This window comes from Homo sapiens, chromosome 11 (assembly GCF_000001405.40).
Source record: "Homo sapiens chromosome 11, GRCh38.p14 Primary Assembly".
Classification (NCBI taxonomy): Eukaryota; Metazoa; Chordata; class Mammalia; order Primates; family Hominidae; genus Homo; species Homo sapiens.
The window spans coordinates 131,373,451-131,390,393 of record NC_000011.10 but is presented as its reverse complement, the minus strand read 5'-3'; the positions used below and the strand labels follow the sequence as shown (position 1 = coordinate 131,390,393).

Below are 16,943 nucleotides of genomic sequence, written 5' to 3'. Positions count from 1 at the left end.
GTTCCCTCCAAATCTCATATTGAAACGTGATTTCCAGTATTGGAGGTGAGGCCTGGTGGGAGGTGTTCGGGTCGTGGGGGCAGATCCCTCATGAATGGCTTGGTCCCCTCCTCAAAGTAATGGATTCTCATTCACTCGAAAGTTGGTTGTTTAAAAGACCGTGGCACCTCCCTCTCCTCTCTTTCTTACTCCCTCTTTTACCATGTGACATGAAAGCGCCCCTTCTCTTTGGCCATGACTAAAAGCTTCCTGAGGCCTCACCCAAAACTGAGCAGGTGCTTGTGCCACACTAATACAGCCTGCAGAACCATGAGCCAAATAAACCTCTTTTCTTTGTACATTGCCCAGTCTCAGGTATTCCTTCATAGCAATGCAAATGGACCAACACAAGCACCCAGAGAGATCAACCTTCTGCCCCTCTCCCAGTTCTCTCTGTTGCATCTGGAACTCCAAACCAGTGGCCTCATCCACCCCTCACCCTTCTGGTCTCCTTTCCCCGGGCTTCCCTTGGATGCTTTGCTGTTATATTTGGATTAACTGCAAATCTCCTTTGATTACTCACTCTCTGTTGAAACAGACAACCTGTTGCCACGTGTTTGATTACTGAATCCCAGGGGAGTTCCTATTTGTAACGCAGCCAGTTACAGCACACCCAGCCTTACACACACAGTCTCTGGGTTGCTATTTCATTGTCTAAGAAGTTGTTTTCAGTTTCTAATTTTTCAATAATAAGCTTCTCACGAAGCCCTTAAGCTGTGAAAATAAGCCGAAAACTGCTTTTCCAGTCATTTACATCAACACAAGCTGATCAGGAGGAGGAAAAAATAGGAAATAGTTTTACACGTTCTTCCCGAGGCTCTAGAAGCCTGGGTGGATTGCCCATCCAGTCTGCAGGTCTAGAGAAGCACAGCGGGAAGTAGGGCGGCTCACGGCACACCTGCCACCAAGGCGAATGATAAATCCTGAAATTTCTTCTGCCGCCCGCCAGGCTGCCGCTTTGCCGAGGCTGGGCAGATATTCTGGGCACCGGCAAATTGTTCTGTCAGCAAGCCGCTCCCCCAGCTCCATCTCATTAGGAAGCTTGTCATTCACTGCCCAGCCACAGCATCAAGGTCCCACCCTCTGAGGTGGCATCCTGTCACCTGGGGCAGGTAAGGGGTGGCTGCAGGGAACCTGCCCAGGAGCCAGGCCCGAGGCAGGGAGCTCAACCTCCTAGAGCGTTGCTGCTCATCTCACTCAGGGTCATGTGAATCAGGGCCTGGCCCATAATAGGTGCTCAGTTACTTGACTAGAGGGAGGACTTGCTGGCATATAGGCTACTTTCAACCACCATCTTTCTTTTTCCTTTTCTTTTCTTTTCTTTTCTTTTTTTTTTTTTTTTGTGATGAAGTCTTGCTCTTGTCGCCCAGGCTGGAGTGCATTGGCATGATCTTGTCTCACTGCAACCTCTGCCTGCCATGTTCCAGCAATTCTCCTGCCTCAGCCTCCCAATTAGCTGGGATTACAGGCACGTGCCACCATACCTGGATAATTTTTATATTTTTAGTAGAGATGAGGTTTCACCATGTTGGCCAGGCTGGTCTCAAACTCCTGACCTCAAGTGATTCGCCCGCCTCGACCTCCCGAAGTGCTGGGATTACAGGCAGGAGCCACCACTCCAGGCCAACCACCATCTTTCTCCCTATATTCTCTTCCTTGCTTTCTCTTTCCCCAAATACAGATCTTAAAATAATACAATGAGCCAGAAAGAGCAGCATTCTTTTTCTTCCCTGCCAACTCATACACATTCCTATTAAAATGTAAATAAATAGGCCATTAAAACCCACTTCTACCTTTTAGACACTGATTCTGATCAGGCTATTTCCACTAAGTACCTAATACTTACGGGCAAAAGGTAGGATATCCTGCCTGCTAAAAACAAGAAAAAGATGCCCAATTAAATTTGAATTGCAAAAAAAAAAAAAAAAAACCCAAAACCCAAATGTCTTTTAGTATTAGTATGTGCTCTGCATAATAAAAATCATTTGTTGATCAGGAATTTAAATATATCTGGTGTCCTGGATTTTTATTTGCTAAATCTGGCAGCCCTAGCCAAAGGGAATCTATATGTACTTACATAGATAAGTGAATGTACATATTTATACGGCTTACACACCACCAAGCCTCCTCTGTCCCGGTGGCTTAAAGGATTTTTTTCTAAGGTGAGAGTATTCGAGAGACACTGAGGCCCCTCCCAGGAGGCAGGGTCCATGCTGCTGCTTCCTTTTCCACATGTCCAGCCCTGGGAGTGGCCCTTCCAGAAAGAGCTCCCAACATTCAGTCTTCACACTCCTTTAAATCAATGGTTCTCAAATTTTAGGATGAATATCCTGAAGGGCTTCTTGACACACAGATTGCTGGGGTCTGGCCCCATACTTTCTGATTTGGAGACCACGCTTGGAGAGTCCTGGTCTAATGATGCTAGATGTCACAGACTCCTTTCTCTTTTCCCAGGGCAGATTAGAAACCGGGGTCCCCAGGAAGGCTAATTATAAAAATGATGGGTTGGAGTCAGTCTTGACAAACTTTTGTTCTCCTTTTTTTTTAAGGGGGGAGTGGGTTTCAGATGTATTTTCTTTTTACAAATGTTTTTATTGATACATAATATTTGTGTGTATTTATGGGGTACCTGTGATATTTTGCTACATGCATAGAATGTGTAATGGCCAAATCAAGGTGCTAGGGATATCCATCACCTCAAACAATGGTCCTACGTGGGAGAAACATTTCAAGCCTTCTAGCTGTTTTGAAATATATAATACTTTGTTGTTAACTAAAGGCACCCTCTTCTGCTATTGTTGTTCTCCTTTCTCAGCCTCTTAAATTCTTTTCCTGGTCTTATTTACTCCATCATCACTCATAACTAAGATGGGAATGTACAGTGTTCCACTGTCCTGATCCTGCAGGAAGAACATTCCCGTTAGAGAGCAGCTCCTGCAAAGGTATGGAGCTGTGCAAGGGCACCAGTGTTCAGTGTTTGGTGGGGCGATGGAGCAGAGTGAAGAGGGGAGTGCTGGGGACAGAGTGAGAGAGAGAGGGAGAGAGAGAGAGAGAGAGAGCTCCAAGAAAGGGAAGCAGATGACTTTGATAGGGAGGTCCAGTCACGAGTACCTGTGCTGTCAGTGAGCTTCAAAAACATTGGCTTTTAATTTTGCAATATGAATTGAGTGCCGAAAGTTTTCACACAGTTAATTCAGTTAAATGTGAAAACTATCTTCCAAGGAAATTCAAATATCCTATTTGAAAGATGGTGAAAATAAGGGCTCGGGGAAAAAACTCAGCCCCTAAAGTTAATGATAGACTGGGCTGAGAAAGGATATTCTGATTGATGTGGAGATTAAGAAATGTATTTGATATAATAAGCTTTGTAATTTGTAAAGATAAAAACATATCTTTTTAATTCCTTAAAAAGGCAATGCAAGAAAGGAGTAAGTGGTGAGCTCTGGATATGTTTGGGAGATGGCCCTAAATGGTAGGAGCAGAATCAAAAAAAGGGATAAAGAAAGAAGACTGGGGTAGATTATATTTTTAGTTAAAGTCCAGAGAAAAGACAGTGGCATGAGGGAAAAGTGATTAATACTGCACAGGATTCTCTGGTTCACTCATCAGCTGTCTCTCCCATTACACAAGCAACTAGCTTAGTCCTTTTTGCTCTCTTGGAAAAACCAGGCTGCAGGTATATGGACACAAACATGTGGACCTGGACATAGGTGTGTGCAAACACACACTATTTTCCCTGCAATATACTCAGGGCAAATAAAAGCCAGCAAATGCGAACTCCTTTAACTTCCTGCCACCAAGCTTACACATTTACCTGCCTCCTTCCTACACCACAGACAGCTGATTATCTCTTCTGTTAATTTTCATTTGTCTATTCTAGTAAAATACGCATGAAATAAAATTCACCCTTTTAACCATTTCTAAGTGTACCATTAAGTGACATTGAGTATGTTCACAATATTATGTAACTATCACTGCCATTCATTTCCAGAACTTTCTCAGCATCCCAAACAGAAACTCTGTGACCATTAAATCACTCCCTGTTTCCCTCCTCCCACAAGCCCCTGATAGCCTCTCCATGAATTTGCCTACCCTAGGTACTTCGTGAAAGTGGAATCATACCTTATCGGTCCTTTGGTGTCTGGCTCATTTCACTTAGCATAATGGTTTCAAAGTTCATCCATGCTGCAGCATGTGTCAGAATTGCCTTCCCTTTTAAAACTGAGTAATACCCATTTATGCATAGACCTCATTGTGTTTATCTATTTGTTGATGATGGACACTTGGGTTGTTTCTACCTTCACTATTGTGAATAATGCTGCTATGAACATTCATGTATAAATACCTGTTTGAGGCCCTGCTTTCCATTCTGTTGAATATATACCCAGGAGTAGAATTGCTGAGTCATATGGTAATTCCATGTTTAGCTTATTTTTTTCCAATTCACTGACTGATTTAGTATGTTTAATGTTGTTCTGTTTTATTTTGTTTCGTTTAGACACTGAGTCTTGCTCTGCTGTGCAGGCTGGAGTGCGGTGGTGCAATCATAGCTCACTGTAGCCTTGAATTTTTGGGTTCAAGGCAATCTTCTCACTTCAGCCCCCTGAGTAGATGGGACTACAGGTGTGCACCTCTGCGCCTGGATAATTTTAAAAAAATTTTTTTGTAGAGATGAGATTTTTCTGTATTGCCCAGGCTGGTCATGAACTCTTGGGCTTAAGCAATCCTCCAGCTTCAGCCTCCCAGAGTGCTAGGACTATAGGCAGGAACCACTGAGCCCAGCCTGTTTAGCTTTTTGAGAAACCCCCAAACTCTTTCCACTGTGGTTGCATCACTTTACATTCCCACCAGCAACGCACAAGGGTTTCAGTTTCTCCACATCCTCACCAATATTTATTTTCCTTTTTTATTTCATCAGCGATATCCTAATGGGTGTGAAGTTGTACCTCGTTGTGGTTTTCATTTGTGGTTCCCTAATGACTAGTGATATTGAAACATCATGGTTTTATGGTAGAATTGCCTTAACCATATGTGTACCCTATGGACTAGAGGGCCTCTTCCATCCTTATCAAGGGAATACTACTTTTTCCTCCTTTCATGTGACACACGAATAGTTTCTTAATGTCCATCCCTCTTTCCATGGTGGTAGGCCCCTGACTTTGTCTGGGCATGTGATCATCCACAGGGGATTGTGAGTCTCCCACATGCTCTTCTACTTAGGTATGGCAATGTGGCTGAGTCCTGGACAAGAGGAGGTGAGCAAGGATGCCACATGATGGCCTCCAGGAGCATCTGCAGGGGGCAATGCCCGGGTACCTCCTGCTTCTTCTTCATCTCTCCCTCATTCCACTCTGGCACACAGATGCTGCCGCCTTAGACTGTGGAGGCAAGGCCATGTGCAACAGGTCCAGATGGCAGAAAGGCCTGGGTGCCTGAGTTTGGGGAACACCTCACTAGCCATGAACAGACAAAGTAGAGTATTTCCATAACCAGAGGGATACAGATTACGTTATTTAAGCCACTCTAATTGCATCATTTTTGTCATTTGCAGCTGAATCTAATCATAATGCATATTCTCAAACACTTCTCTCCTTCCTCACTTTAAAGAGTAATGGAAGCAGTCTTTCTTCTTCTTTTCAAGACTTCTTTCTGTACCTATTCTCAGGATTCGCCACTCCTCCCACCTGTTTGTATTCCCTGAGGGCCTCACCTGGCCAGCCATCACCACATCCTCCTTCTTGCCTCTCCTTCCCTGGCCCCTGCCCATCTCACTCACTCTCTCTCTCTCTCTTTAAATTAGAAAACCTTTTGAAATAATTACACTCATTTTCTGACTCCACTTCTTCTTTCTATTTGTATCCCCACCCCATTGTTCCGCCCCACAAAACTGTTATCCCCAAGAACATGGAAGAGATTATTGCAACTAAGTATAATCTCCCTTGATCCTTTAGAAACATTTGACACTGCTGACATTCCTGCCTTCCTCAAATTTACACCATTTGGCCTTGATGGCCTCATGCTTTCCAGATTTTTCTCCTATGTATTTGTCCACTTTTTGTCAATCTGCTTTTCCAGATCCCTTCTCCTCCCAGCCTTTAAAGACTAGTGTTTGCCCTCAATTCTTTTTTATGTATTCCTTACTCTCTCCCTGGGTAATTAGTTGTATCTGTGTTGAAGACTGTCTTTTTTCATACCCAGAGTTTCAGATCCATCTAGCTAACCTCATATTGGAAAGCTACTGTTAAACCCATCATGACCCAAATTGCATTAATTACTATCTCTCTAAAACCCACCTCTAAGCCATTCACTTAGAAAACGGAAGTCCTCTTACACTTTCTTTATTACTTATCCTCTTCTTCCCCGTCCATCTCCAAGTCTTAACCCTTCTACCTCCACAACTTTTGAATACCCCCATGTCTCTCCTTCTCTGCAACTGTCACTCTGGTGACCTCATGCCTAACTGGTTGCAACGTCCCTTAGGAGGCTCCCTTTCCTCTAGTCTTGCCCAACTTCAATTCATTTCCCATATTGTAACTAGAGTGACACATTACCATTTTCAACGAACCCAAATCATGTTGTTTGGCCACTACAACTGCAAATGTGGTCATGTTACTCTCAGGCATACAACGCTTCAATGCACCCTTTTCCCTCAGTATAAAATCTTCAATGAAAACAATTCTAGCCCTGACCTCTACCTACCTCTCTACATATACCTCTTGTCTTTCCACCTACATTCCTCCTCCCATCACCCCATACAAACACACTCAATCTAGCCATATTTGATTTCAGAATTCTGAACTCCTACCATGCTCTCTTCCCTGTAGACGTTAGCATATGCAATTTCTTCCACTTGTAACACTCATCTCTCTTCTCACCTGGTTAAATCTATTCACCTTTATCTCTCAGCTTTAACATATCTTCCTTCCAGAGAACTTTCCTGTCCTGAAAAGTCTCCCAAATGCTGCCATAGCAAACTTACCTGCTTTTATTCTAGCACTTACCACGTGGTAGTCACTTGTCTATCTAACTGAGTGCAGGAACTATGCCTGCCTTGTTGTTGTGTATGCCTAATACCTAGTATGGTCTGAACAAATAATTCTGAAGTGGATGAAATATAAATGTAAGTAAGCACCTGGCCATGCTTTCAGATCGATTATGTTGTTCTTTTATCATTAGATTCAATGATGTGGAGATGTCATGTCTGTATCATTTGGAGATAACAAAAAGCTGATGAAGACATCTCATCGGGATCGAAAAATAATCTCAATGGATTTAAACAATGGACACAGGGGCAATAAAGTTTTAAGTGTTTAAAAAGATCATTTAGAGAAGATCACCTGTGAGCAAGGATAGGCAAGGTCTTATGGAATCAGTTATTTTGTGAGAGGAACAAATACAGCCTCAAAATGAGCCAAGGATGTGGCATATCCAAAAAAAAAGAATGAAACTAACACAATAATTGAATGAACCTATGTAACTATAAAGTCCAAAATCTGCTAAGTAACAGTTCACTTTCTACTTTGCCAGTCAGACTACAGCTGGCAGAGTCTGCTCTGGCAAAACCTTTTCAGTTGATCATTATCAAACTGGTCATGTTTCAAAGATAATGATCAGGATGATTAGTGCTCCAGAAACTGTGCCATGCGATGATCACAAGAAAGAACGAAGGATGCCACGATAAGATAAGTAGGGTCTATGATAGTCATCTCTTAGAAAGTGGATCATACACTTTTACTTCTATCCTGATAGCTCTAAAGGCAAAACTTAGGGAGGGGCAAAGTTTTGTTCCACATAGATTCATTAGGATTGTATTCAGCTGCAAGGAAAAGAAAACTAATTAAATGGAGATTTTTTTTTTCACAAGTGATGATAACTTTATAACTATGCATTCTAGAGCTGGTACAACTGCTATGTCATCTTGAACCTGAGTTCCCCCTATCAGTTTGAGATATATGAAATTACCTATACTCAATTATTTTTTTATTTACCCAAACAGCAAGTCCATGTGGTTTGACCTACAAGCATCCTTCTCTGTCATTCTTGATATGTGTTCTTTGTCCTCCTGTTTGTAAGTGGGATCCTGCACCTCCAGGAAGGATCCCAGTCTCCCAGTCAAGAAGGGAAAATAATAAAGTCCGAAAAGCACAGGCCATCCAAGTACAACCCTCCACACTGTACCCAGTCATCTTATGCTTGTATCCCATTGGCCTGAACCGCAGTATATGACCATATGTCATAACAGAATCTGGAAGTTGAGTATTTTAAATGGGCATATTCTTACTATGAAAAAATTTAGAGTACTATTTCAAAAGAGAAAGGATAGAATTGATATTGAGGAGGCATCAAGAATGCCTGCCAGAATTGCAAAGTGCTTTCTCACATAGTTTATCAGCTATGAAAAAGAGTGTTAACATCAGTTATGCTTAGCTGTACCTCCCAATAGAATCATCTGCTGTTCTTTTGGAATAGAGATGAACTTGCCCTATTCTGACCTGTGCCAGGAGAATTTTTGAGAGTCAGACCTGGGCATCTGCTTTATAACAATCTCCAGAGGTGATTCTGATAGGCAGCCAGAACTGAGAGCCACAACTCAGGTAGTGAGTGTCTGGTCACTAGAAATCTCTGGAGTTCTTGAGCAGGAATTAATCAACACAGTTCAGATGGCATTGTTGCCTTGGGGAGGAGACAGGGCAAGTGAAATGCCACGGTATCTCACAACTCTAGGAGTCCATGAAAAAGCTTCTGGATTTAATTATTAAATTATTTGACCTTGGACAAGGAGTTAGCAGTATGAAAAAATAACGGAAAAAAAATGACAATATGGCATTTAGATCCTTTTATTAGGAAGTTTTCATGGAAAAGGAAGAGGAAATGTAGAATGATTAGTTAATTCTTATTTGTCTTCAGAATTAGCAAAATGGTTTATCCAACTATAAATATTCGTGTATCACCAGTTGCATTGAGAAAAAAAGCTGTTGATTAATCCATTCCATGACTGGGCTGAGTTTCCTCTTGACTGTTCAGGAAGAAAGTCAAGTACTCTAGTGGACAGCTTTGTGGAAGAGAGACTAGATTTGGAGAAACAGCTAAAAAACACTGGACCACTTCACCTTCTCCAACTAGATGAATTCATCCAGTCATTTTCCTCTTTTCTTAGGTTCAACCTTCCCTGTCCCCATTCTTCCCTCTGATGCCAGCACCTCACCTAGATGTAGAGCGTAGGTTCTTCCCCCTTCCCCTACTGATCTGAGCAGTTCACCATTAGAATGACTTTTCCACTCTTGGGTCAGTTTAGCCTGAAATACTGAGCTCCACAAGTACTACTACATAGGTATCCATAACATCCGGTTTATTATTGATTACAGCCAGGAGGGATTACTAATATACGGGAAAAAAGATTTAGGATCTAAAAAAAATATTTGTCAGAAAGAAGAGATGAGTTGAATCTAAGAAAATGGCTTTATAATAGAAAGGGTAAGTTCTGAGGTCAGGCTCTTGCATACCTATTGAAACAACTCAGGCAAACGATAAGGAAGAGTTGAATGAACAATAGCTCACCTTGAGTCGACAGAGTTACAGGGCAGCTGAAATACCTAGTGGGATCTCAGGTCTTCCTCCCTTCCTTTCATCCATAAACACTGAGTGTCACATTTGTCCCAGGGGCTGTGCTATGTGTACTAGGTATATAAAGATAAATAAGATTGTCCTGGCCCTTCTGGAGCCCACAGCCTGGGAAGGGGAGATAGACATGTAAATAGGTCACCTACACTAACAGGTTGTGGATATGAACAGTAAAGGTAAGAAAAAGTGCAAGGCAAGCATAAGAGAAGCAGTAAGAAGACTCAGTTGGGCACGGTAGCTCACGCCTGTAATCCCAGCACTTTGAGAGGCTGAGGCGGGCGGATCACCTGATGTCAGGAGTTCAAGACCAGCCTGACCAACATGGAGAAATCCCATCTCTAGTAAAAATAGAAAAAAAATTAGCTGGGCATGGTGGCACATGCCTGTAATCCCAGCTACTTTGGAGGCTGAAGCAGGAGAATCGCTTGAACCCGGGAGGCGGAGGTTGAGGTGAGCTGAGATGGCACCATTGCATCTGAAGCCTAGGCAGGAGACTCCATCTCAAAAAAAAAAAAAAAAAAGACTCAAAGGAAAGGGTACTGAACTTTGAATTCAGTCTGAAAATATCAAAAGCATTTTCTAGGTAGAGAGGGGCAGGGTAGGGCCTGAGCATAAGCCAAAGGAACAGCATGCTCGTGTGCTTTACAGAGGGAGCAACAGGAAACCCCAAAGAGGCCATGGAGCAGGGAGTGCCTCAGTTTAGGAGAGAGGCAAACTGAGGACAGACCCTTAGGATTTCACATGCCTTGGCAGAGAGCTGAGACTTCATTCTACTTGGATTTGGAATCAGGAGAAGCTATAATATGCTGGGCTCTAATATGCTGGGCTACCAGGACATACTGGGAGAAGACTGGAAGAAGGATGCAGAGGAAGCAGAACAACTCTAGAGAAGAACCACCAGCACTCTGTTAATGGATGATTTTATAGAAAATAGGAGGCAAACCTTGGAATATTTAACCTAGTAAAGAGGAGATCCAGGGGAGAAAGGGAGGAAATCACAGTTTCAAATATTTGAAAACAGTCATGTAGAAAAACTAGACCAGTCCTGTGGGTAGTAGAATTAGGTAATATTTATTGAGAGCTTCCTATGTACAAGGCAGTATTCAAACACTTTATTTGCATTAACTTATTTATTCCTTATAATAACCTTACAAGGTAAGTCCTATAATTATCTCTATCTTATTGAAGAGGAGCTGAGTTGTACAGAGGTTGATTCAATTGCCACAGACCTCAAACCAGAAAGAGGCAGACCCAGGTTTGGCTCAAGGCAATCTGGTCCTGGAGCCGCTGTGTTAGGAGCCGCTACGTTATAATCACTCTCCAGATATAGGACATGTGGCTGGATTCTATAAGAAGGCAGAATCTCCTTCTCCTTCCTCTTCCCCTGCCTCTTCTTCCCATCCTCCTGTCTTCCTGAAATCTGACAGATGCAATGGACTTCTGAAGAGATGCAAGTTCCTATCACTGGAGATAGAGGCTGGAGGACCACTGCAGCTGCATTGTTGAGGGGTCAGAGCCCAAAAGAGGAACTGAAATAAAGTATCTTGAAAGTCCCTCTGAGCCTCCCTCCCAGCCTGAGCTGGTTGTGAATCAGGGGTTGTCTGGCACAGCAGTATGAACACTCTGGGGAGCCAGGTGGGTGTGTGGGTTACCCAGAGACTAAACTTGGCACAAATCTGCCAGTAGCCCTGTTCTAATGTGCCTCTTAGATCTGCTGACTCCATCAGAAAACAAACAAGTTTTCACTCCGGCATACACCACAGGAGCTGTCCTGGCCATGTGAGTGGAGCCAGCATCACTTCTACCTAACATATGAAGCTGCAAAATTGTCATTGAGGTTCTGAGCATGAGTCTTTATTGACCATGAGAAGGAGGGAGCAGTGGAAGCAATGCAGCTGGATAACTGATTCCTGGGGAGGGGCAGGGAGGCTAGGTAGAAGAGAAATATGTAATTCTCACATCTAAGGATGGAGCTTCTTCTAAGGCTTGTCATTGCTGAGCACTCTCCAATCCAGCTCAATCACATTCCTTTTTGACCCTCAATCAAATGCCTTCTGAATTTCTCTTGCAGGAAGGCTTAGGAATTGATCAATTGAGAGTCATTATCAGTTCTATTCCCCCTACCCATGACAAGTTAATCCTTTCCTTCCATTCTAAGGATGCTTTATAGGTAAATAAATGCATGCATATATGAATACACAACATCATATATATGAGATAGCACGTAGAGTTTGCACGCACACACACCATTTACATGTTCTGACTCTGTTCATTCGTCTGTGATGCTGTTTATATTCTTACCTTCCTGCAGGCAGAGGCTGGTGCTGAGTATTTTCTTTTAGAACCACTACCTATCAATAACTATACTCAAAAAGACTATTTGCAGTATTGCCAAATGTTGAACTTGGAATGAGACTTGAAAATCTCTTAGTCCAAGTGTTTTATTTTAGAGTGAGAAAACTGAAGCCTATATAGGGGATGTGTCTTACCCAAGGTCTTTGAACATGTTCAGATGGCTTTAGAGGTACACTTTTCAACCTGACTGCAGATTAGGCCTTCTTGGAGAGCTCTTAAAAATATCAGTGTAGGGTCCCATTCAAAGGGATTCTGATTTAATTGGTCTGTGATAGGGTCCAGACATTGGTATTTTTATAAAGTTTCCCAGGTGATTCTATGGTATGGCAAGTTTGCAAACCACTGGCTTTCAGACAGAGTATTGCAAATAAATGCAGATTGCACCTACCCACTGAGGATCATTCTGACTTCTGAGATCAAGTTGGGCAATGTATAATTGGTCTAGACCACTGGACTTGGAAGAATCATGGGTTTATGAGAAAGGTAATTACCTGTTCTTGTTCATGAGAAAACCTAGGCATGATCACCACCACCGTGATGGAAATGCAGATAGCAGCAGCCCTCCCAAAGCATTCAGGGTGCAGCTAGAGTACACAGTGTGAGTGCCAGAGCAGCTTTGTTACCTCTGTACACACAGTGCTGCAAACACAATCCATGGATTGAAAGAAGATGGGTGTGTAGGAGAACAACTACACAATGTGACGCCCAAAACACTGTATTCCATCAGAAGAAAACAAAGAAATTCCTTTTGTTAATAATGCATTTGTATTATTCCAGGAACTCTAAATTAAGATGTGATGATTGGATAGCAAATTAAAAGGGTTCTCATAGAGGAGGTTATCTTAGCTCTACCCTGAATTCTGAATCCCTCCCACAGGTCAGAAGAATAGTATTTGCCTCATCCACAAAAGCTGTCTGAGGCAAATTCTTCCCTGGCCTTATCTGGTATTCTCCTTTTATCTTCTTGGCCCTCCAGTTCTGTGCAGAAGTCAGGGCATAAAGGAAGTGGAGAGGCCAGAGAGGTGACAGTGATGTTCAGCATCAACCAGTAACTCAAACACACAAGACAATGACCACAAAGACAGTGAACTCACAGCAGCATTCCCCATCCTATATACACCAAAGGCATCCATGAGCTCCTTTTCTACAAGAGGTTGTGTGGAGTAGCAAAGGCAGCATCTCTGTGTTATGAGAACCCAGAGCCAGGGTGTGCACCTCCTCTTCCCAAACCCCTGTCTCAAAACAAGGATTGAGGGCTGGTTACTTCCCTGCCATCCATCATCATTTGCACAGGAGGCCAGAGGCTGTGCCATGAAGTCTCCACCCTTGCTTCCGGTACTGCTGTTGTTGCTTTCCGTTTATGACAAAGGATGCCAAGCCAAACCAAATCTGAGAGACCCAACTAGGTCTTTGGTCTTATCCGTTAGTTGCTTTTTCATCGCTGTTTTATCTCCAGCACCTAAAACAGTGCACCGAACGTAGTAGACACTCAATAAACACTTGGATGTGATTGAACCCGTGGGCAAATAAACAACCAGATGGATTTGGTGTTAGGGTGAGAGTTTGGTGGCGCTTCCAAGATGAGCAAAGGAAGCACCACTAGCGAGTGAATTTGAATGAGGAAGTAAAGCCAAAACCAGCAGTCTTTTGATCAGTCTTTTCTTATCGCAAAGGGCAATACTCTCACTGAAGCTAAAAAAAAAAAAAAAAATCAAATTTAGTAACCTAAGATGTCCTTAGTAACAGAGCTGAAGAATGTGTTTTCCAATATTTGATTTCTTAGCTTGACAGTCTCTCTTGAAATACGCTCTTCTCCGCAATGAAAATGTGAATCTTTGTTGGTTTGTTTTGCAGTTTGCAAATGACTTACAGAGCTCTTCTGGCAGGGTTTCTGTTTCTCCACTTGCAAATAAACAAAAGGCCATTTCTCTAATATGACTTAAGTAGGGGAGATTCTGTGATCTCCTGTCATGATTTTAGAAGCAGTAGAAAAGGAGAAGAGAAAGGAGGGGCAAGTAGAAAGAAGAACAAGAAAAACCGAAACAGACAGCTTATAGAAGCTGAGAAAAAAAGCAGGAAATAGGCAAAGATAAATTTGATATGGAAAATTAGAGTGTGAGAGATACCAAATAATGGAAGACTCTGTAATTAATAGGATCCCAGAGAACCTTTTGGGGAGGGCTGAACTCGCCCATGGTCCGTTGGCCTCCCTCCCCGCTTCCATCCCATCAGCTGGGCTCCTTGTGAACTGTGAAGACAGGCTCTCCCCTCCTTCTCCTAGGCAAGCCTGCATGAAGCAGAGCAACCCCTGCCAGCTTGACCTAGATCTGTCAACTGATCAATTATTTTTCCCATAGAGGAGAAGGAAAAATGAAAGGAAAACAGAAAAAGGGAAAGAGAAAAAGAGAAGGTGAAGAACAGAGAAGTAGGGGGAGTGGGCAGAAGGAGAGAAGGAGGGAAGGAGGGAGAGAGAATGGGAAGGAAAATGGATGCAGTCCTATATCTTTTCAGTTTAAGCAGTGGTAGCAAGAGCAGGCTTAATCCAGAGGGTTGCATAAATAAAGACATACATACATACATACATGAAAGAAAAAATAAAGTTCTCAGAGGTTACCGACCAAAATCAGTCAAAGCAGAAGCCAGAGCTCTTTTTTTCCCACCCTTTGCCAATCCAGATTAGAGCTATTTTTTCTGAAACTCCTACCTCCAGCTCCATCCTCCCTAGTGCTCCCCCTCTCCACCATTCACGCTGCAGTCCCACACTGAAGCCTCCTTTTGCAAAGGGATGGGAGGCATGCTCCCTGCAAGTGCCTTCTAAAGCCCTTCTGCCCTTCCCCAGTGCACTCTCTGATAAGATGAAGCACCCTCCGGCAATGGGGAGGTGATGCTTCTAGGAACACTAGGATGGTACCCTTTGACCCTTCCAAACTGTATGCCATCGACTTCTTTATTACTGCATGCTTTCTTTTTTTATGTTTAATTGGTTTTATTGAATTTCAAATGACTATAGACATAAAGTAAACATGTAACAAGACAATAGAGCAGAAAGGAAGTAAACTGCATAAATATAATCTCAGCATGGAGTTCCACTTAGCACCACATGTTTGGAGTGTTACAAGCATTAATGAGTCCTTACAACACCCAGGGGAGTCGCTCCCCGGCCTGGTGGGCAGGTGGGGAGATAGGCCCGCAGAGGGAGAGATTTTTCCCTACAGAAAACAGAGAAATTTGAGCTTAGATGTACATGTCCCCCATGGAGCTATGTTCAGACCACTAGAAATGGCTTGAAACCTGGAGACCACGCATATTGGGTGTGTGAAGCATTTGTAGGATCTCTGCTGCAGCAAGAGAGAGAGCAATGTGGGTTTTTTGTTTGTTTGTTTGTTAATCTTTAGCATTCTAGTTTGTGAGCAGAAGCAGATCATGAGCTTGAATCCAAAATACTAGGAAAAAAGCCAAATCACAGACCTGTTCATCCTACCCAAAGTGTGCCTCTACTATGATTGAATGGCAAGAGCATTACAAATCTCTCCAGCATGTGTTTTCTGTACACGTCAGAATCATGTGCCCCATATTGATTCAGAAATTCTGCCATTTCTTGGGATGTTGAGAGAGCTCACTTCATCCCAAGGGACAAGTTTTGGCTAAAATCAACACCAGGTTGTTTGGCCCATCAAGAAAAGGAGCCACTATCAGCCTGGCAGACAGTACGCAGGCAGAGAGCAGAACCCAGGGAACTGCCAGGAGGCAATCTAGACCCTATCACCTCAGGCAGGGAACCAAGAGACACACCTGAAGACACTACGCAGGACGCCTGAATTAAAACCAGCGCTATGGAAGGAGGTTACTGAGAAAGAACAGAAGTCAGGGACTGTACATTGCAGCTGATAAGACGAGATCTGGGGGCTTATATTTGGCTTTAAGGGAACCAAAAAAGGGAAGAATCAGGACCAGGACCAGGCTCTGTGCCTGGTAACTAAAGCTGCAGTTTCAAGAATGGTCTTCATGCAGCGAGACCTGCCGGCCAGGGCAGACACTCTCCAGGCACGCTTGAGCGAATGCTCAGACGGCCATCCCCATTGGTGGGGTGGCCTCCTAATACAAAGGGCGGAGGTGAGCTACATTTGTGCCACTGTGCACGCCTTGCCAGGAACTTGCCTCAAGTTGGCAGCCCCAAGCCTGGCAGGCAGGTTCCATTCGATGAGGCTCCCTGACGCCCTCCCCTTACTGCCATGCTTCCAAGAGCCCACAATGCCTATGTCAGGCCCAGGGTCCCATCATCCCAGGCTGATGTTTCCACTTTGCCAGTAGATATTGCTATGGTCTCGTCTGCCACCCCTGAATATCAGAAGCATTGCCCAGCTCAAGCTGCTGCTGGCACCACGTGTGTACTGTGCATGGCAGGAACCTGGCCGGCCTGCCCAGCCGAACGGCGCCCACCGCCCACCTCCCGGGTGCTGCGCGAAGGGGAGTGTGAACTTTGCCGAGGCACCTTTTCCTTCTCCTCTGCCCTGTCTGTGTCTCAGGCTAGCTGCTAAGCGGATGCGGGATGTGAGGAGAGGTGAGGAAATGAGAAAGGTAAGAGAGGAACCTAGCCAAGCAAATCTGAAGGTGTTAAAAGAAACAATAATCCTTCGAAGGAGAAATGGTCGGTTTTCTAGAAAGAGGAAGCTGCAGCACAAGCAGCCATTCCTTTCAGAGGCTCTCAGTGGCAGAAGGTGGGCGGTGGGTGTTCTGCAAGGGACAGCGCCTGATCCAGTTCTGTAGCGTCTGCTCCCGGCAACGAGATGCCTCCACTTAATCAACCCTGGTGTATCTTAGGGCCAGAGCCCCAGGGAGCTAATCCCCCCTCCTGTCAGCGTCACTAATCAGTGCTGATTCCCTCAGAAACCCCCCTCCCTACCTAAGCTGGATCTTGGTTGCTGGTT

General features: G+C 43.8%; 1 protein-coding gene and 1 pseudogene across 21 annotated transcripts in view, besides 1 other annotated feature; both read right to left on the bottom strand.

The window, feature by feature from the left end:
- NTM (neurotrimin) overlaps nucleotides 1-16,943 on the bottom strand; it is a 966,208-nt gene that overhangs the window by 946,429 nt on the left and 2,836 nt on the right. The window lies entirely within an intron of this gene.
- On the bottom strand, nucleotides 5,031-5,145 carry RNU6ATAC12P (RNA, U6atac small nuclear 12, pseudogene; annotated as a pseudogene).
- Nucleotides 15,654-16,316: an enhancer, noted in NCBI's record as "H3K4me1 hESC enhancer chr11:131243973-131244635 (GRCh37/hg19 assembly coordinates)". NCBI's record gives its function as "activates a minimal SCP1, AML or CMV promoter by ChIP-STARR-seq in primed H9 embryonic stem cells {active_cell/tissue: H9 hESC(primed)}" and the evidence as "EXISTENCE:reporter gene assay evidence [ECO:0000049][PMID:30033119]".